At 40.1% G+C, this 21,438-nt stretch overlaps 1 protein-coding gene and 1 long non-coding RNA gene across 9 annotated transcripts in view; one reads left to right on the forward strand and one right to left on the reverse strand.

Annotated features, from left to right (window-relative positions):
- The window catches only part of LOC112267988 (uncharacterized), a 23,447-nt gene extending 21,953 nt beyond the window's left edge, over positions 1–1,494 (forward strand). Inside the window, exon 3 of the long non-coding RNA XR_007060571.1 lies at positions 1,393–1,494. This is a non-coding gene — a long non-coding RNA (uncharacterized LOC112267988). The remainder of the gene's footprint in view (positions 1–1,392) is intronic.
- The window catches only part of TCAF1 (TRPM8 channel associated factor 1), a 50,802-nt gene that overhangs the window by 7,341 nt on the left and 22,023 nt on the right, over positions 1–21,438 (reverse strand). For 7 of the 8 annotated variants that reach the window (XM_006716191.3, XM_005250074.5, NM_001206938.2 and 4 more), the window contains 6 exons: positions 17,274–17,907; positions 4,087–5,081; positions 3,701–3,798; positions 2,380–2,593; positions 1,493–1,732; positions 109–446 (listed from right to left, as the gene is read on the reverse strand). In XM_006716191.3, coding sequence (XP_006716254.1) covers positions 109–446; positions 1,493–1,732; positions 2,380–2,593; positions 3,701–3,798; positions 4,087–5,081; positions 17,274–17,893 — 2,505 coding nt within the window. In that variant the 5' untranslated portion in view covers positions 17,894–17,907. The remainder of the gene's footprint in view (positions 1–108; positions 447–1,492; positions 1,733–2,379; positions 2,594–3,700; positions 3,799–4,086; positions 5,082–17,273; positions 17,908–21,438) is intronic. The other variant, NM_001206941.2, reaches the window with a different exon arrangement.

Consider the following 21,438-nt stretch of genomic DNA (forward strand, 5'->3'; position numbering starts at 1 on the left):
AGACAGGGGCCATGGGTGGTCTTCTGGGCCACTAGAACATTATCCGATAGTTGCCCTGATGGTCCCCGCAGTAGGGGTCCCCCATCACCCGCCATTCTTGCCCAGTACCTGTAAATACGTTTCCAGTGCGGTCCATGCATTCCAGTTTTTCACATTGGGACCCTTGCTCAGGTAGATTCTGACTCTCTTCTCCCGAACTGGGGGCCACAGAGCAATATTGGCACGGCTTCGAGGAATGCCCAAGACCGTCTCATGCACATACACACACCACAGGTTGCAGGTGGCCTCGGTGGTGTGTGGTGGGAACTCCCACTCCTGCCGCTGCTGGTTGCGGCCCAGCTCATGGACGGGGCCCCACAGCCCCTTGGTTCTGATGAGCTTCTCGTTGATGAGCTCCTGCACTGACTCCAGATGGCACATGATGGGGTACCCTGCATGCATCCAGCCTGGAAAATGCAGAAGGAGGGAAGAGAGAGTTAGGGTCCTCCCCATTTAAGTCGTAATATTCTTCTATGTTTTGTGTGTGTTCCAAAACACTCAGTAACCCCAGCCAAATTCCAGCACACCATAATACTCAGAAAAGCAACCCAAACCAAGACCCTGCTAGGTGTTCCTTCTCCTCTTTTCATTCTGGAAGAATTCCTTCATCTCTACTCTGACCCAGAATAGTGTGGCTATGGAAGGAGATGCAGCTTATATATAAGGAGCTGTTCATGTTACCATTCAATTTTTCTATTTTGATGAGGATGCCTTATCCATGTGAATCTGTGTCACTATAACCTTTTCTCAAAATTCAGAGCTCTTTAAGGGTAGCTCCTCTCTCATTGTTCAGATATGGAGTTGCCATATCAACACAAGTTTACAGTGAACATCCGTATAAGAAAGAAAATGAGGGTCCAGAGAAATTCCCATGGTTCTTTAATGTCTGTATATTTCCCTCACTTTTCATGTTCCTTGACCATAGGCAAAGATCGCTTTATTCAGTGTGTTCTTAAAGTTGTAAAATTCCCTTTTCCAACCCAACAACTCTGACCTAGGTCACGGCCCTCTGCCATTTTTACCGGCTTGAAGTCCCTGATGAATACCTGTGAAAGCTCAGGTGGCATTTCTTGATGTCCTTGACATGCTGACCTAAACTGTTTTATATACACATATACATATATACATATATATAATATATATTATATAATATATATTACGGAATATATATTATATAATATATATTATATAATATATATTACGGAATATATATTATATAATATATATTATATAATATATATTATATAATATATATATAATATATATTATATATTATATATATAATATATAATATATATTATATATATTTCCTTCCCATTTAAATAACAAGGATACATCTATATGTCTTGCTAGCAAAATATGTTTCCCCTACTGGCTGCCCACTGCATGGCTGATGAAAGACAGGAAGGCGCTCAGAGGCAGCATGCACAGAGGGTTTGCTTGGAGCACCCACCCACTGAGATCTGCACGTCGGCAACAATCCTCTGAGGCAGGCGCAAAGGGAAGGGCTCAGCTCCCAGTCGCGCCACAGCCTGCATCACCTCATCCCAGAGGCGGAGCAGCGGCTCAGGGTTCTCCAGAGTACGAAGATTTGCGGTCGGCACGGTCAGAATGATGTTGTCCGTGGCCAGCTCTCCCCAGGGCCCTGGATTCTCCTGGATACGCCTCTTCCACTCCTCCAGGGTGGTCTCCCCTAGGAAGAGAGACCATGGAGCTTGAAATCCTTTCCCAAATCCCTTAAATTACAACATACAACTTAGACTCCAGGAAGAGAACAACAAAATCATGAACTGCCATATCCCTCCTCTTTTTTAAAAAATGTAAAGTTCCGGGATACATGTGCAGGACGTGCAGGTTTGTTCCATAGGTAAACATGTGTGATGGTGGTTTGCTGCACCCATCAACCCATCACCTAGGTATTAAGCCCAGCATGCATTAGCTATTTATCCTGATGGTCTCCCTCCATCCACCCCCGCTACCCACCCCACTGACAGGCCCCAATGTGTGTTGTTCCCCTCCCTGTGTCCATGTGTTCTTATTGTTCAGCTCCCACTTACAAGTGAGAACACGTGGTGTTTGGTTTTCTGTTCCTGTGTTAGTTTGCTGAGGCTATATCCCTTTTCTCTATCCTTCTATGAAGTCTCCAAGGATGTGGTTTGGTCTTTATCTGTACAACCCCAAAGCTGAATCTAAGGAAGCTGACCCTTATTCCTCTGTTAGCCCGTGTCTCTCTCCTTCTGCACCAAACAGACTCTAGTCACCTCCTGGACTCCCATGCTCTCTGGAATCCTCATCTCAGTTCTTCCCCTTCCCTCAGGGGCACCCAGAGCTCCCACTCACCCAGCTTGTAGTATGGAGCATGCACAGCCCCCTTCACGGTGACAGGCACAGAACCCAGTTTGCTGTTCTGAGGCACAATTATATAGAGGAGTCCACCCCAGAGGCACGTGATCGATTTTGTGGGTTTGTCCAAGCAGCACCGGTTAATTACGAGTGGGCCTCGGAAAAGCTTGCTGGCCCTGGTCAGGTCATCTGTGTGGCAGCCAATCTGTATCTGGAGCAGAAAGATCCCCCCCTCAAGGAGTCACCATGGGGCACGAGTGGGTGGAAGAAGAGAGCCCAGCAAGGGACTCAGGATGGGTCATTCAGCCATGAACCCAAGCGAGCCCAGCCTTCCCACCACAGATGAACCATGTGTGATACCCCAAGAAACTGTAGCATTCCTTGGGGCATATGGACTGAAGTATATATAAATATTTTCCCAAAGCATTCAAACAGCTCCATAATGGGTCATGTTAGATAGACATTAATGTGAGAAGTGCCAGGTGTAACCTGTAAGGCCAATTCTGAGGAGGGCTGACTCCCACACCCGGTCTCCTGGTGTTGCTAACAAATAGAACACTTGATCGCCTATCTCATGGTGGTGATTCTGGCATTTGGAATGGGGCAGAGGGAACCCTGCCTTTTGCTGATCAGAGAGAGGGCCCAGTGGGAGGTGGTGTGATCTGGCTAAGATAGTGGAGGGTTTCTCCAAGCCCTCTTCCTGGGCAGGTACTTGGTAGAGTCCTAGGATTCTTTTCCCTGGGTTTATGCTAATCAAGTTCCAGGATAGGTACAGGCACAGAATAGATGCTAACCATCACAGTGACCCCCAAGGGGGATAGGGAAGGACAGCAAACTAACTTTGCAAATGGGTTCTATGTGAAAGTGACAGAGGGAAGGTGAACTGGGCAATTGAGGAATGGTCTTGGATGTCATGGGGAAGAAGCTGAAGTCAGAAAGACCTTGTGCTACCATGGGAATGGATACGGAGATGAACAGTGAACTCAGATTTACTGAATGCCTACTCTGTGCTAGGTTACCTTCCATTTGATACCTCTTATTCCCTACTCTAGGATGTAGGTCAAAAGCACAAAACTTAAGAGCCAGAAATTAGTTAGGTTTGAGTCCTGGGCACTTATTTGTATTAGCTCTATACATTTCAATCGATCAATCAATCAATCAGCTTTTCTGCACCTTAGTTACTTCATCCTTAAAACAAGGGTAAAATCACCTGCTCTGTATTACCAACAGGGCTTTGTGAGAATCAAATAAGATACTGACTGTGCTAGGAAGAGCCTTTGGCTTCCATGTTACATGGTGAGGTGGGGCATGGCCTTACCTTCAGGTCGGCAGAGGCAGCAGCTTCAGGCAGTGAGACTTCTATAATTTGCCTTCCAGGTATGTAGAGCCCAGTACTCATCCAGCAATATCTGGTGCCTGCCAAAAGCAGGAGGGGTAGGCAGACTTTATCCCTCCTCCATGATGCCACCTCCACCCAGCATCACCAGAGACCCTTCGTAAGCACGTATCTTCCCCTACATGCTGCCTTGACTCAACTCTTCCAAACAGTACTTAAAATCCCAACCCTTATCTTCTTCAAAGTTCATGGTAAAAAATGGAGACCACCTTCTGGACATGATCGGGTCCCTGAAATGGACTGCTGATGTCAGCCTGTCCCCATTCCCCCATTCCCATAATACTGAGCTTCCAACCCTTGTTCCTTACCTGGATTGGTGCAGTTGACCTCGACGGTGATAGGAGATTCTGAGGGGCGCAGATAGGGGCTGCTGTACATATCTTCAATTTCTGGGACTAACAGAGAGAGGTCGCTTCCAGAGTGGGCCAGCCCTGTGGCCAGGGAAAGCATAGCACCTCTGCAGCAGTCATTGATAACAGGGTTCTCTCGGGTTGCTACTGGAAGCCGATATCGACTTAGCAGCTTCCTCAGGAGTCGATGCACAGACATGTAGGCAGGGATCTCTTCTGCGGGAATCTGCAGGAAAGCTGCACCATCTGGTCCCAGCTTTGCCAACCAGCCCTTTTCCACATTTCCTCTCTTCCTGCCCATTATAACCTGGAACTCGGCCAAGGTGGAGCGGAAGTGATAGGTCCTTATCCCTGCTTTAGGAGTACGAAAGGGCCCTGGATTGAGGCTTTGGCTTGTAATGCTGATGCCAAAGGGGTTGAGGAGGAGGTTTCCTGGGAATCGAGCCAAAGGGGACACTCCGGGGTTCTTGAAGGCCCACCACCAGGCTTGGGCTCCAACAAATAGCCCGCCACCCTCTGCTACAAACTCCTGCAGTTCCTTGACCCCCACTTCACTCACGGGTTCAAAGCAGTAGACACTTGCATCACTGGTCAGATTGGGCTCGATGCTGGTGTCTATGCCCCCCACTGCGAGGAGGCCACTCAGGGTTCTCAGCTCTGTCTGCACCACAACCTTGCCTCTGCGGCCCCCATCCAGCCAGCGGACAGCATTGAGCAGAAAGGGGCCCAGTTTACCAACAGTGAATAATACCTTATGGCCAGTCACAACCACCCGGCCCCGGCCATAGCGGGCAGCCGCTATAACACAGCCATGGTAGGAATCTAACCCTAGAGGAAAGGCTAAAGCCCCATGCACTAGCAGCTGGGATGGGAAACAATCCGAGTTGCTGATGTCCAGCTCTGAAATCCCATGCAGAAGCTCTTCTCTGTCGTCGGAGAGGTCATCTTCACAACTGCAAAAGACACATGCATTCTTTATTAGAGGTACAGTTCTATATAAAGCTGTTAGAACAGTGGATGGCATACAGTGAGCGCTATAGATGTGTTAGCTTTGCTAATATTGTTATTTTTAGTTCTTAGGGGAAAGTTGGGAGAACAAAATGGACAGCTCTGACCTCACTGGGTATGGAGACTTGTTGGAGGGGTGGCAGAGGGACTCAGCATTAATTCTGCTCTGCTCATTCTTAGAGCACAAATTCTCCAATGGAAATTGCAAAGGGAGCCCTGCTGTGTTTATCCAGTACCATGTCTTAAATACTCCAGATTTTAGTTCATGGTTATTTCAACCCTCTAAACAATACATATAAAAAAATGGGAAATCATGTTTTTTTTTCCTTATAAGGAGTCTTATTTATAAATTGCAGGAAATTGCAGCTAATTTCCTACAAATAAAGTCTGTGGAAGGACAAGTCAGTAGTGCTAGTGAAGAATCATTATTATCTCAAAAGGTGGGGTAGGGGAACTGACTGGCCTCAACTCTAGTGAGACCCTCTGGTTACCTGAGCCCAAGAGGACTTTACTGTCTGCATCTAGAACTCCACTTTTTCACTGCCTGCCCAACAGGAGTGATGCACATCCATGCTGTAAGGTTTTGCTCAGCACCATCTGTTTACTGTCTGTGGGTAATCCAGCCCTAGAAGCCCTCAAGATGCCCATAAATCCAAAATGAGATGGAACACTGGATAAGGTGGAGTTAAGGAATAGAGTGGCCTCTCTGAGCTTGAGATTCCAGAGTTGGTTCTGTCACTTTTGTTAGGTAAAGTATAGTAGGATGCAGCTACTATAGTATAGTAGGATGCAGCTGTAAGATAACACCAAAAAATGGGGGTCAGGTAGACAACAAATTTGCAGTGTTCGTGCTGTACTCTCTATGGCTGGCAGAGCTCTACTGATGGGAAAGCTATGGTCCTCTTAGCAAGTATGAACCTTTACTAAAGATAAAGCTACCACCATACTAATTGGTGGATGACTCTCTAACTCGGTAAAGAACTATCATTAACATCATTCAACTATCTCTTCTTGCTCTGATTCGAGGCTTACCAAACAACTCTGTGATTGTAATACTGCTTTCCATGATCACCTGCCTAATGAGAGAAAGAAGTCACTGGCTAGGCCAACCAGAATATTCTAGATTTGTAACATTTATTTATTTTATTCAAGCAACATTTTGGATAGTCTGTATTTAATTTGGTGACTCTTAAAATTTTTTAAAATTCATTTTCAATTGTAGTCCTTTAAACATGTATACAAAATTTAATGAAAAATGTGTTTTAGTTCTTATAATTAGAGTTCTGTTTATAATTTTTTTCTCTTTTATTTTTGATTTTTTAATTTAATGGAGAAGGGGGGGGGTCTCACTATGTTGCTCAGGTTGGTCTTGAACTCCTGGGCTCAAGCAATCCTCCTGCCTCGGCCTCCCAAAGTGCTGGGATTATAGGCCATGGCACCTGGCCTTGTTTACGAAGTTCATGCAATTATTTTTTTTTAAGAGTAAAATCAGTGAAGAGGTGGGCTACTGTGCTCTAAGTGAATACATCAGCTTCAGGATTTCTACATGAGCCTACTGATGAGAGAAATTAAACCTACAAAGCTGAGATTCAGACACTGAGTTATTAGAACTTCATCTGAACAATGAGACTACATGAGGTCTTGCTCAGTGCTTAGCCAGGGGGCACCCTCGGAGGCATCTGTCTATTAGTTCCAACAGCCACGATTTATATACAGTAGGGGCTAAGTAATTCTTTCATGTGTTGAAAAAATGAGTTGGATTTTACTTCTCTTCCTTACCCTCTTCTGAAGTGAAACAAAAGTTACTTAAAAAAATAAATCCTGGTGAAACCCTGTCTCTACAAAAATACAAAAATTAGCGGGGCATGATGGCGGGTGCCTATAATCCCAGCTATTCAGGAGGCTGAGGCAGGAGAATTGCTTGAACCTGGGAGGCAGAGGTTGCAGTGAGCTGAGATCATGCCAATGCACTCTAGCCTGGGCGACAGAGTGAAACTCAGTAAATCCATAATAGCATTGGATTTTGAGAAGGGTGCCATCAACAAACTGAGATAGTGGGGACATTTATAAAAAATATAAATCAAATGGTATCTGATTGATTGGAAAGCCATGAGAACAGAAGAATCTAACTGCGTACATGTGAAAGAGAAGATCAGGGGAACAAAGGACCAAAGATTATCATTTGTCCCAAGAAAATGCTCTGCAGTAACCAATAATGATCAACCTAGGATTTAAATGTAATTTAAAATTTAAATAGACAAGAACCACCAAATATCTGACGAAAATTAACAGCATGAAAGAGAAGCACCCAACTAAACTCCCAAGGGAACAATAGCAACAAATGGAGAAGAACGTTCTAAGTAGGTATTGCATATCATCAGAAAGTTCTAAGAAGATATATTACCTCTCTCGTGAAAAAATGGGACAGGCTACTCTAAAAGATTATTGATTAGGCTGGGCGTGGTGGCTCACGCCTGTAATCCCAGCACTTTGGGAGGCCAAGGTGGGCGGATCACGAGGTCAGGAGATCGAGACCATCCTGGCTGACACTGTGAAACCCCATCTACTAAAAATACAAAAAATTAGCCAGGCGTGGTGGTGGGCGCCTGTAGTCCCAGCTACTCGGGAGGCTGAGGCAGCAGAATGGCATGAACCTGGGAGGTGGAGCTGGCAGTGAGCTGAGACTGTCCCACACACAACCGCAGGCAACTACTGATGTGCTTTCTATCCATAAACATTTGTCTTTTCTAAAGCTTCATATAATGTAATCATAAAGTATGTACTCCTTTGAGTTTGGCTTCTTTCACTCAGAATAACTTTGTGAGAACCATCCATACTGTGGCATCTATCCGTAATGCATCGTCTTCTACAGCTGTGTATTATGCCATTCTGGAGATAGGCTACACTTTGTTTATCCTGTCATCTGTTGATGGACATTTGGGTAGTCTTTGGTTTGGGCTTGCTGCCCTAAACATTAATGTACAAGTTTTTGTGTGGACATGTTTTCCTTTCTCTTGGATAAAGGGTGATGAAATGGCAAAATTGTATGTTAATTGTCAGTTAACTTTATAAGAAATTGCCAAACCGTCTTCCAAAGTGGTTGTGTCATTTTATATTCCCACTGGCAATGTATAAAACCACATTCTTGTCAGCAATTCATATAGCGAGTCTTTAATTTTAGCCATTTTTATGGGGCCATAGGGCATTTCATTGTGATTTTAGTTTTTTGCATTTCTCTGATGACTAATGATAGTGAGAATCATTTGGGCTTTTTGGCCTTTTATATTTTATCTTTTGTGAAGTGTGTTAAACTATTTTGGCTTAAAAAAAAAAAACTTGCAGGGTGTGGTATCTCATGCCTATAATCCCAGCACTTCGGGAGGCCAAGGCAGGACTGCTTGAGCCCAGGAGTCTGAGAACAGCCTGGGCAACATGGCAAGACTCCATCTCTACAAAAAATTTTAAAAATGGCCAGGTGTGGTGGCGTGCACCTGTAGTCCTGGCTACTCAGGAGGCTGAGGAGGAAGGATTGCTTGAGTGCCATGTTCGTGCCACTGTACTTCAGCCTGAGACAGAAAGGGAGACCCTGTCTCAAAAAACAAAACAAAAACAAAGAAACATAGGTGGTCTCATTATTGGAATATAAGAGTTCTCCATGTATTCTGAATGCAAGTCCATTGTCAGATATAAGTATTGCAAATATTTTTTTTTCCAGTCTATGGCTTGCCTTTTTGTTTCCTTAATACTGTCTATTGAACTGCAGAGCTATTTACTTTTTAAAAATAAAGCTCAATTTATTAATCTTTTCCTTTTATGGTTCATGTACTTTTTGTGTCCTATGTAGGCAAAAATTGCAAAGGTCAAGGTCAGATATTTTCTCCTATGCTTTCATTTAGAAGTTTTTAAAATTTAGCTTTTGCATTTAGGTCTAGATCTATTTTTAAATATTTGCTTTTATGGAGTAGGGTGAGGGTCACAATTCACCTTTTTTCCATAAGGGTATCCAGTTGTTCCAGAACCATATGTTGGAAAGACTGTAATTTCCTCATAGAATTACCTGAGCAACTCTGTCAAAAAACAATTTACCATAAATCTGTGGGTCTATCTCTAAACTATCTGGTCTGTTTCATTGATCTGCATGTCTATCTTTATGCCAATATCAAAGTGTTTTGACTACTTCATTTCTGTAAAAAGTCTTAAAACTAGCCTATGTTAGTTCCATTTCATTTGTATATTTTTAGAATCGGTTTGAACTATGGACTGCATTAAATCTGTAGGTTAATGGGGAAACTGACATCTTAAAATATCAAGTGTTCTGATCCATCAACATGGTATATTTCTCCATTTCTTTAGGTTTTATTTAATTTCTCTCAGAGATGTTTTGTAGTTTTCACCATACAGGTCTCATGACATATTTTGTTAAATTTAACACTTACTACTTCATAATTTGGGTTCTATTTTAAATGTTGTATTTTAAAATTGTAATTACCAATTGCTGGTTGCTAATATATTAAAAAAGTAATTGGGTTTTGTAAATTGAATTTTGTATCTTACAACCTTGTTAAAATTAATTATTATAGCTTTACTGTAGATATTTTAGGATTTTTTTTTACATAGATGATCATGCTTTTTGCAAATACTTCTAAAAATAAAATAATTCCATTCTAGGAAATGCTCTAACTTTATGTTTAAATGGATCTTGTCATTTAAAAATCTTCTAAATGTGTAAAATACTTTTTTCTTTTAAATTTGTTTTCCAACACCAAGATTCAAACATTTCCTGTCTTTTGGCTCAGTGTTCTAGAAAAACAAAACACATATATATATATTTTTTTAAATTTCCAATCTCTATGCCTTATTTTCCTTGCCTTATTACACTGGGTAGGACCTGTAGCACAATGTTGAATAGAAGAGGTGAGAGCAGGTATTATTCCTTGTCATGTTCTCAGTCTTAGGGGAAAATGTTCAGTATTCACCTTTAAGAATATTTTTAACTATATATTTTTCGTAGACATTTTTATCAGGTTGAAGCAGTTCCTTTTTATTTCTCATTTGCTGAAATTTTATCATAATTTGGTATGATTTGGTATTGAATTTGGTCAATATTTTGTATGTGTATTATTGAATTATATGGTTTTTATTTTTCTTTTGGTTTTTTTTTTTTTTTTTTTTGAGACAGTCTCACTCTGTTGCCCAGGCTGAGTACAGAGGCACGGTCTCAGCTCACTGCAACCTCTGCCTCCCAGGTTCAAATGATTCTCATGCCTCAGCCTCCCCAGTAGCTCGGACTACAGGCACACAACACCATGCCCAGCTAACTTTTGTATTTTAATAGAGATAGCGTTTCACTATGGTGGTCAGGCTGGTCTCAAATCAAACTCCTGATCTCAAATGATCCACTCACCTTGGCCTCCCAAAGTGCTGGGATCACAGGCATGAGCCACCATGCCCAGCCTTGAATTACATGGTTTTTCTCATTCATTCTATTAATATGGTGAGTTAATCTGATTACTGAATGTTAGACCAGTCATTCATCCTAGGATAGCCTTACTTGGTCATGAAGTATTCTTCTTTTTATATATTTCCGTATTCTATTAATATTTTATTAATAATTTTTCATCTATATTCATGAAGGATATTGTTTTGTAGTTTTCTTACGATGTCCTTTTCTGGTTTCAGTATTAGAGAAATGCTGTTTTAATAAATCAAGTTGGAAGATCTTCCTTTTCTATTTTTAAAAAGAGTTTATGTAGGATTTGTATTATTTGTTCCTTGAATGTTTGATAAAATTCATCAATGAAGCTGTCTGGGCCTGGAATTTTCTTTGCGTTGTTGATTTTAAATACAATTTCTATTTTAAAATGTAAGAAAATCGAAAACTTGCAATATAGTAAAACATCCATTATACATTTGTCAAAACTAAGAAGTCAACAGTGATCAAACACTACTAACTAAACTCCAGATTTTATATAAATATCATCACTCTTCACACCAATGTCTTTTAGGATCCAATCCAGGATACCACATTGCATTTAGTGTTGGAATGTTTAAAATTACAATTCAATTTATTTAGCATATATTTCATGTTTCTTTTTGTATCCATTTTGGTAATTTTTGGCTGTCAGGAAATTTATCTATCTCATCTAAATTGTCAAATTTATTGGCATAAAGTTGTAATATTCCCTTACTATCCTTTTAATGTCTGTAGGATCTGTACTAATATTCCTTCTTCTATTCCTGAAATCCATAATTTGTGTTATCTCTCCTATTTTCATAGCTTATCTAGAGGTTAATCACTTTTAATGATTTTTTTTCAACTAATCAGCTTTTGGTTTTACTGTTTACTTTTTTTTTTAAAGTTGTTTCACAGATTTCTGCTCTATTATTTCCTCGTTTCTTCTACAGATTTTGGGTTTAATTCAATTTCCTTTTTTAGATTCTTAATATGGAAACATAGTTCACTGAGTTTCAAATTTTCTTCCTTCCTAATAAAAGTATTTAAAGGCATATCTTTCTTAGCACTGTTTTAATAGAATTGCACAATTTTTGACATGTTATGCTTTCATTTTTATTCAGTTCTAAATATATTCTAATTTCCTTTGTAATTTCTGCTTTGACTTAAGGAGTATTTAGAAACATTTTTAAATTTACAAATATTTAGGAATTTTTCAGATATGTTATTGAATTCTAATTTAATTCCACTGTGATGAGGACATATATGGTATGATTTCAATTCTTTTACTCTTGCTAAGGCTTATTTTATAGCACAGCAGATGGTCTATCTTCACGGTCTATCTTCATGACTATCTCATGTGCACATAAAAGAATGTGTATTCTGCTATTGTAGCCATGCTGTTAGCATTCATAAAATAAAATTAAATAAACAAATATGGAGAAAACCCCACATGGAATAAAAACAGGCCCAAATGTAAAAAGCAATTTGAATACTTTTGAATATAGTACTTGCTGGACTCTATATGCTCAGTGTGGTGTATTCAGAAGGCAAAAATAACTTATCAAGTTTGTTATTGGCAATAGTATGGGTATAGGAATCATGAAACTCGTTTGTGTGTATTATTGGACTGAGCAAATAGGTAAATGTTGAAGCTGTTGAAACCAGGATTCTCACTATGGCAGAAGAAAAATACTAATATGGAATGAGTGAAAGAGAAGAAGAATCCTGTGGTTTTGAAGTAAAATTGGGGGTATCAGTGTGAATGTATGATTAAAAGATATGGCTCTCTCAGAACCCAGAAATGATGACACCATAGCACTGAGCATGCTTTAGATCTTGGTTTCTAAATACCGTTCACCACTAGAAGGAACTAGCATTCCTTGAGGAAATGGCTGAATCCAGGTTTTGAACCAGAAAAGTAAAAGGTAACCTTGCAACATCTTTTTATGTCAGAAACTAAGTAAATACTAAAAAAAAACTGATGGGCTCAGGAGACAGCTTAACGAGGCTTTAACTTGCCAAATTTGGGACAACTTAGCCTTCAAAAAATACTGACTATAAATGGATTGTAATGTATTCGATCTTAAAAGAAAAGGATCCATGAGTATAGGGTGATACTAAAACAAACGTTTAAAAAGAAGAACAACCCTAACAGTAAATGTGAAGGTGGGGAAGCGAAGGTCTTATTTACCAAAGGATGTCAATCAGTTCTTATAGAAATCTACAAGTAAACCAACACTTAGCCTGAGGTAAGTGCTAAGATGTTAGGTTAGTATGGGAGCACAAAAGACTCATCTATATCAGAATGAGAGGAGAGGAGTAAGGGACAGCTTTCTAAAGATGTGATACCTGAGATGAATTTTGAAGAAAGGTTCAGAAGTGGCTGAAGTGGTAGAAGTAGCCACTTTCATAAATATTTACTCAGGCACAGATCACCAATGAAAGCTAAAACCACTGGGTGAAAGGTTGTTGGCAAACAGGATATTCATACAGATCTCAAATTGTCACACACTAAATTAGTTTTAAAAAAGGGGGAAAGGAATAAAATAAGTAGAAATAAAATATAATAAATAAAATCAGTAAAATAGGAAAATCTGGCAAACTCCAGTTTAATTAAATGACCAATTTTAACATCACCAGTAATTGGACAAACTGACCTCATGCACCTTTAATTTGTGACACTGTGATGAAAACAACATAAATTATTTTCTTGCCAAAAATGTGTGAACTGAGTGTAATCATGAAAAAAAAAAACAATTAGACAAAGCCAAACTGAAGGGCATTCCATAAAACAACGGGACTGCATACTTCAAAAATACTAATGTCCTGAAAGATTTAAAAAAAAGCTAGGGAACTATTTTGATTAAAGGAGACTAAAGAAATATGATATGGAAACTTGATTAGATCCTATATCTTAAAAAATCTAAAAAAGGGATTTTTTTGAACAATTAGAGACGTTTGAACATGGACATTAGATAACAACATTCTATCAATGTTACATGTTTTGAGTGAGATAACTGTATTGTGGTTATATGGGAAAATGTCCTTGTTAGGAGATACAGGCTGAAGTATTCAGGTATGAAGTGTCATATCCATCACCTGCCTCCTTCATTCTTGAGATCTGTAGGTTACTCTCAAATGGCTAGGCCAAATAATCTCTTCGTATGTATACTTATGCAGCATATGTGGCAAAATGTAACCACTGGTGAATCTAGGTAAAGGGTGCGGTGATTATTATGTTATTCTGACAACTTTTCCTTAAGTGTGAAAAATTTGAAAGAAAGAGCTGGGAAAAATTAAAGGTAGCTATAATAATGATACAAAAATTGTGTATAACTTCTAAACAGAGAGAAGGGGAAAAGAAACTCCATCAATCAAGCTAAAGGCAGCAAAGGAAAATTTGAAAAGAAGCAACGAGACTGTTTAACAAAGAACATCAAATAAGATGATGGAACTAGAAGAAAAACACCAATGTCCTTAATTATATAAAAACATCAATGTCCTTAATTATATAAATTTTTAACCCTCAATTGGGTTAAAAAATCAGATTTGTACTAAGAGATGTATCTTTAAAAGCAAAAGAAAGAATAAAAAGATCAACAAGTAAAACAAAGTAGGAGTCAGAATTAATATTAGACAAAATAAAGGTGAAAAATACTAAATGCAAGAAATAATATTTTAGATGACAAAAATGTATGAGCCATAAAAAAGTCATGAGTTTTTATAAACCTAAAATATAGCTTTGAAATATATAAAGCAAAAGCCAAATTCAATTCTAAAATCACACTGAGAGTATGAAACAATTGTGATATACATCTCTATACTTATCCTTTAGACCAATATATAATATAAATATATTATTTATATTTCCATGACTTAACTGATTATATAATCAGTTGATCTAAAGGGTAAGTACAGATATAGGTACATAACAGATGACACTTATGGAATCCTCTTGAAAATGATATGGTTTTTGACATTTTGTTAGGACAGAAAAATAGTGATAATTTTAAAAATGGGATAACAGTATTGTGACTACATTTAAAATTTTGTCTTTATCTTTTGGAGATATACTATTTTATGGGTGAAATGACACACTGTTGGAGATTGGCTTCAAAACAAACGGGAAAGGTTAAGGAGTGGGTGGGGTGTGATTTGATACCATTACCTGGGTGATGAGTACATGTGCTCATTGTTCTATTTCTATTTCTGTTACGTGTTTGAAAATTTCCAAAATAAGATGTTTCTAAACGGAAATTACCAAGTCTTTAAAATGAAGAGGTGTATGTCAAGCTTAGGGGTGGTAGCGAAAAGATAGTCATTGTATTATTATTTATAAGAAAAAATAGAAATAACATTAATGTGCTAATAGGCAAATGGTTAAATGAATTTCAGGACAATCCAACTGAATGCAAGATGCTCTTCAAAAGGATGATGCCCATCTTTTTACAGGGATATGAAAAAAACGCTCAGGATATAGTCAGTGAAAGAGCAAGTTGCAGATCTCTCTCTTTTTCTCTGTGTCTCTTTCTACCAGTCCAGCTCTCCCAACTCTAACCCCAATACATAAATGTAGGAAAAACATCAGACAAGATACCATCCAAACCATTAGCAGTGATCATTTCTTTGGAAGGGGGGAAGAAAAGAATTAGCGAGAGGCAGAGGATGAGGTGGAGGACAAAGATCTTTCACTTTTTACTTTGTATGCTTCTGAATTATTTTACTTTTTTCCCAAGAAGCACATATTTTAAAATTAAAAAGGAAAAATGTTCATTAAAAGGAAAAGAAAACAATTGTGATTTGGCAATCTCTCTTATAAAACAGCATATTTTGCCACTTGTACTCACTCTCTAAAAAGTTCTATTTTGTGAAAATCAGTTAAAACAATTTTAGTATATATGGCTAAGCATATAGTAAGAAGTACAAAGCAGGAGTTAGGTAAATACATTCACCCCACCATGCCTGGGCATTGATTCTGACCTAAAACCTATAATTAGGATTCTATATATGCCTAACATATAACCAGCAATAACCAGCAACGACCTCCAAGGATGTGCAAGATCCTTATTATAAATAAACTTACAACCAAGTCTCTTTTGTGTCTAATATCCCTTCACCATTTTTCAAACTGAAGGGGGCATGGATAGCATCAATTTATAAGGCTGGTCAATTCAGGTTTCGTGAGGGTATTTTCAAACCAAATTTATGGGAGCATTTGGGCATTTAGAGTATGACCATTTGTACGGCGTTCTTTTCTATGCATCTCTGATGACTTTGTGAACATACAGAGATCACTGTAGACTGAAAAATGTCCTACAAGGGACAGTAGGAGCTTCTATGCCACCACTTTCCTTTAGAGAGAAAAAGAGAATTGAAAGGACATGCTAGTGCCACACTGTGCCATTACTGGTTATAGATCCCAGGTTTCCAGGTTTTATGAACAATGATAGCATAACCCTCTTCCTACAACAGTTACTTGGTTTTTGACTTTTGTTTCCAAGTCTTGTAATTGGAGATGTTCCTGTGCCCCTAATTCTCAGATCTTTGCAAATCAGGTTCTTGAAATAAGAAATAATGCCTGGGATATATAATATGTTTAATAAACCCTGGCTAAATAAATGGATGAATGAACAGAGAGTTTGAACTCCTTTGCAGAAGCCCAATATTTGGGCTAAAATGATACGAGTCATCTTTTTGTCCAAAAACATAGTAGACTAACTATTCTGGTTGATCTTCCTAAAACTTCCCTAAAAGTCCCATGCCAAGGAGAAGTCATAGCTCATTCCCCATACCTTCGTAGTACCCTTGGTGTGTCGTCCTCACCCAATCCTACCTTGCTCCATTCCCATCAGTCAGAAATATCAGTGTTGTTTGTTCTGAGAATGCTGAGAGTTTTAATATACAACATAGAGAGTGGCCTAATGTACTTTTTCTGCTCCCGGGACTAATCCAGCTTATAATCCCTCTCATTCATTCATGCAGTCATGCATGCAAGAGATGTTTACTGAGCACCTACTGACCTGCTATCTGTTAGGCACTATATGTGGTGCTGGAGTGCAGTGAGAGCAAAGCAGGCAGGGCAGTACACTCCAAAAACTTTCAGTGCAGGCTCTCCTGCACCCATCACCTGACTCCTTCATTACTGATCATCAACCTTTTGCCCCTCCTAAATCCTAGATTTAGCACATATAACTTGAACCATCTTTTCTGATATCTTAACTTCTGAAGGCTTCTACTTCCTATTGCATCCTAACCTCATCTGGATAGACATTTCAAAACCTTCCCCACACCTCTCTAGGCTTTGGCTCATGGGGTCCTTCATGCCTGTTTTCCTTTTCTTCACATTCCTGTTGAAAGCAACCTCTCCTATAAACCATCTGGATTAACTATGCCAACTGTTGGGGCCAACAGCACAGTTTTGATTAAGCAAGACACTGGGACCATAGCCACCATTAAGTTCAAATTATCAAAGAGCTAAATGGTCTGGTTTGGGAAGACAGGGGCAGTGAGGACCTTGCCCCTCCTATGTCTCAGGGCATTTAAAAAATCTAGTTGATATGTAGTGATTCCATATCTGAGTGCCTGGGAGCACTCTTCTGTTAGCCTTGGAGCAACCTGAAGATAAGAACTGGGTCTGCTTTTCAACCCTGGAGCCAACTCCCCAGTGGGGTAACATACTCACCTAACCAACACTGGGATCTTGGGCATCTTCTTGGAGACTTTAAAGAAACTCGTGTCCCCTTTGTTGTCAGTAAAGTAAATGCCAGCCACACTGGTCACGAGGTTCCCAGGGAACGTGAACAGAACCCTTTCATCCTCCCCCTGGTTGGCCCAATCCCAGGCTTGTCCTCCTATGAGCAAGCCGCCACCACATTTCATGAACTTGACCAGCTTTTCTGTCATGGTTTCATTGTAGGCATCAATACAGTAAACCCCCAGGGAGTCTTTCACTTCTGGCTCAACCTTTGCATCCACTCCAGAGCCCTCGAGGATTTTGGCCAAAGGTGCCAGGGATGGGTGTACACCAATGGGAGCCCCAGGGGAAGAGCAAAGCCACCCCACTGCGTTCAGGAGAAAGGGCGTGAGCTGGGCTTCCACCAAGTAGTCCTCATGGGACACGACCACCAGGCGGCCACGGCCATAGGAGGAGGCAGCAATGAGGACCTGGCCCATGTCATTCACCATCACAGGAAATGAAGCCTCTCCAATAAGAAGCAGTTCACATGGAACAGCATCTTCGGGTACATCCCAGCTTGTCACACCATTCATAAGGGCCTCGAAGGCAGCAGAGGGAGTCGCCATGGCTCTATTGGTTTCTGCAGAGAAGAAAGCAAAGGCTCAGCTTAGCGAAGAATGGATAAACAAAGAAACAAATAGAGCAGTTCACTCTTCCAGTAGCTGGGCTATTCTTCCCACTATGCAGATGAGGCTGACACTGGGAAATGATTTAAGCACTCGGTGTTAGTGTCTGAAGTCCAGGAGACCCCAATGGGCCCTCTCCTCTTAAATTCTGCAGTCAAACTTAGAGAGCTTGATACTTTTCCATCACAGAAGGAAACAAACAGAATGAAAGAATGAGCAAGGAATTGTGTCCCCCAAAGAGATATTTTGAAGTCCTAACCCATAGGACTTATTTGGAAAGAGGTCTTCACAGATGTAATCAAGCTAAGATGAGGTCATATGTGATTCAAATGGGTCATAGTCCAATGACTGATGTCCTTGTAAGAGGACATTTGGAAACACAGGGGAGAATGCTATCAGAAAATGGGGGCAGAGATTGGAGCGATGAGTCTACAAGCCAAGGAAGACCAAGAATTGCTGGCAAACACCAGGAGCTAAGTGAGAGGCCGGGAACAGATTCTGCCTCAGAATCGCCACATTGCTGACACCTGGACTTCAAACTTCTAAGCCTTCAGAACTGTGAGATGATGTCTTCCTGTTATTTTAAGCCACCCCATTTGTGGTCATTTGCTACAGCAGCTGCTGGGAATTCATACAGTGGTGCGGCATGTTGTGCTCCCAGCCCATTCCATCCCTCTTGGCTCCCACACTAATCAGATTAATCCCAGCTTGGAGAACTCAGAACTTCCATCTGAAATGCCTGGGCTTTCAGAAAAGGTTCTTTGGTCAAAGCCACAGGCTAGGTAAGAGGAAAGTGGAAGTCCTCTGTGGTTTAAATGCAAGTCTCACATAACCAGGAGCAGAAGGTAACAAGATATGCAATTACTGCAGCATCCTAATTGCACCTGGGATGCAGCTGACAAAAGTGTGGAGGTGAATTCACAAATATCCTCGGCTTCTTCACAATGAGATCCCCACTAATGATGCTCTATAGTCTGACCTCTGCTATGAGCACTGTACTGAAACACTTCCTCCAAGGACAGATGTGTTTTCATGGTCAGGTCATGCAGGTTGTCTCATCCTCAGTGACCACTCAGCAGCACAGGACATCACTGCTCTTCAGTCCATGAGGCTGAACCACCTCTGTCAGTGCGGCCCGAGGTAACCTCTTTATATCCAACCTCTAGAACCACTTACTTTCTGTCCTTTTCTGACCTCCTCTTGGAATATGCAGACAGCCCTTACAATTTAATCACTGGCCCTTACTACTTGTCTATCTCCCTTGTCAGATAATATGCTCACTCCCAACATAATACGCAACCTGATTATAAACTTGGGCTCTGGAGTTATGGCAGTCTGAGTTTGAATTTCAGCTCTGTTGCTTAACAATTGTGAGACGCGGACAACACATCTCAGATTTAGTTTCATTATTAATTAAATAGGAATAATAATATCTGCCATATACGCTTGTCCTGAGGATTAAGGGAAATAACATAGGTTAAATGCCTTTTCATAAGTATTATTTATATGCATAAACGTATATGTTTATAATTATTTGGTTAAGAATAAACCATTTAATTTAAGCATGTGAATAATAGAGAATTCTTGCAGTGGAAAAACAATTTAACCTAACATAGATTTTACAAGCACTGAATTGAGCATGTATTGATTCTGATTTAATAGTTTTCATATTTTGGTACCATACTAATACTAACACTAACACTAATGCTAATTACTATTACATTCATTTCTCATATATCTCTGTGTACCCTTGAGAAAGCCCTTCACACAGGCTGTGGGCCTTCCACAAGCCAGGATAAAATAGCCCCAGTCTTGAGGTAACAAGTTCAAGACCATACTGGCCATTTATAGCCAGTCTCTAAACTAAAAAAGTCTTGAATTTATTAATTTCCCTCTAAGTGAGCTCTTTTAAGGCAAATTACATAAGCTCAACGTTTCTAGTAGTTAAACAGAAGCATTAATGACCTACCTACCTCAGGGGACTATTGAGAAGATACTGATATGAACATTTGGTAAGCAAGAAGCTTGTCTCTTCCCTGCTCCTCCTGATGCCCACAAATAATCAGGATAGCAAAGTGCACAGTGTCACAGTATGTCTCTTCTCCCTGCTGCTGCCATATCCAGCTGGTCACAAGTCCTATTAATGTCCTTGTTCATGGTTTCCAATCACACTGCCATTAACCTAGTTTAGGTCCTTAGTAATTCATGCCTGGACTCAACCGACCCAATTTCTAAGTTACCAAGACCTCTTCCCACCTTTACTTTTCTAAAACCACTCTAATCATGTTATTTAATCTCAAAGCTCCACCTTGGTCTCTGGGGACCATCTACTGCCTCCTGGTGTGGACTGCCTGCAGAGCTGGCTGCTCCCTGGCTTTTCCTGCCTTTTCTCCTGCTGCCTTTCTCCCTGCAGCATCCCGTCTGCCAGGCGCCCTTGGACATGCCCTGTTTTCATTTTAGATTATCTTCCTAATCTCTTTCCATTCTGTTCCCTCTCCCAAATCTTTCTATCTACGGAAATCCTGTCCTTCTAAGAGAAGATATGGCACAGAAAAGAAAATATAAATGGCCACTTGTGTGGAAAAAATGCTCAATCTCACTAGTAGTCAAGTAATGGAAAATATATCATGTGTTGCTCATAATATTGTTAAAAAAGATGATACTTCTTTCTAGGAGAAAGTGGAGGAGGAGAAGAAGGGGAAGGAGATGAAGATGAAGAAGACAAAGGTGGCTAGTAAAGTTTAATATTTGAAAGGCTAATAATGTTTAATACTTAAAAGACCATCACAATCGGCAGGAATGACGGAGAATGTCTGCGCTCTTTTTCAAAAACAATTTTATGGTGCCTACTTGGCTTCAAAGGTGTGCCTATCTTTAGACCCAACAACCTTTCTTCTAATAACCGTTCTTACAGAACTAAGAAGGGCAGTATCAAAGATATACGTACAGGATGCTTACTGCCACACAAAATTACAAAGGGAGATAAATGAAAACCTAGAAGTACAGACAGATAGACTAATGACAAAGAATGTTTCCTAGAACCATTTTTGATTCTTGTGGGTGCAGGATCTCTAACCCAAACCCACACCTATCCAACTTCCACATAGCCCCCAGATACCCCATTGTACCCAGCATAAGACCCTGTAGCACTGTCCCCAGCCATCTATCCACACACACCCACTAAAGAGTTGCCCATCAGAACCCTTCTCCCTCAGCCTCTGCTGCCTCTAACGCTGGCACGAGTACAAGCAGAACAGGGACCTCACATATCTGTCTCACTAGTTGTTTTCTGAGCTAGTTCAAGGATGAGTTGAATATATTTTACATCCACCTAGAAGAATGTCCTAGATACATTTCAAGTGAAAATTTCAAGTCACTATGATATGCAGAACATGAAGTCATTTTTGTATGGGCAAAGATAATAGTAATAGTTGTAATTAGTAGTGGTAGTAATTATTATTAGTAGTAGTAACAACACAATGCTT

The sequence above is a fragment of the Homo sapiens genome, chromosome 7 (genome assembly GCF_000001405.40).
Source record: "Homo sapiens chromosome 7, GRCh38.p14 Primary Assembly".
Lineage (NCBI taxonomy): Eukaryota > Metazoa > Chordata > Mammalia > Primates > Hominidae > Homo > Homo sapiens.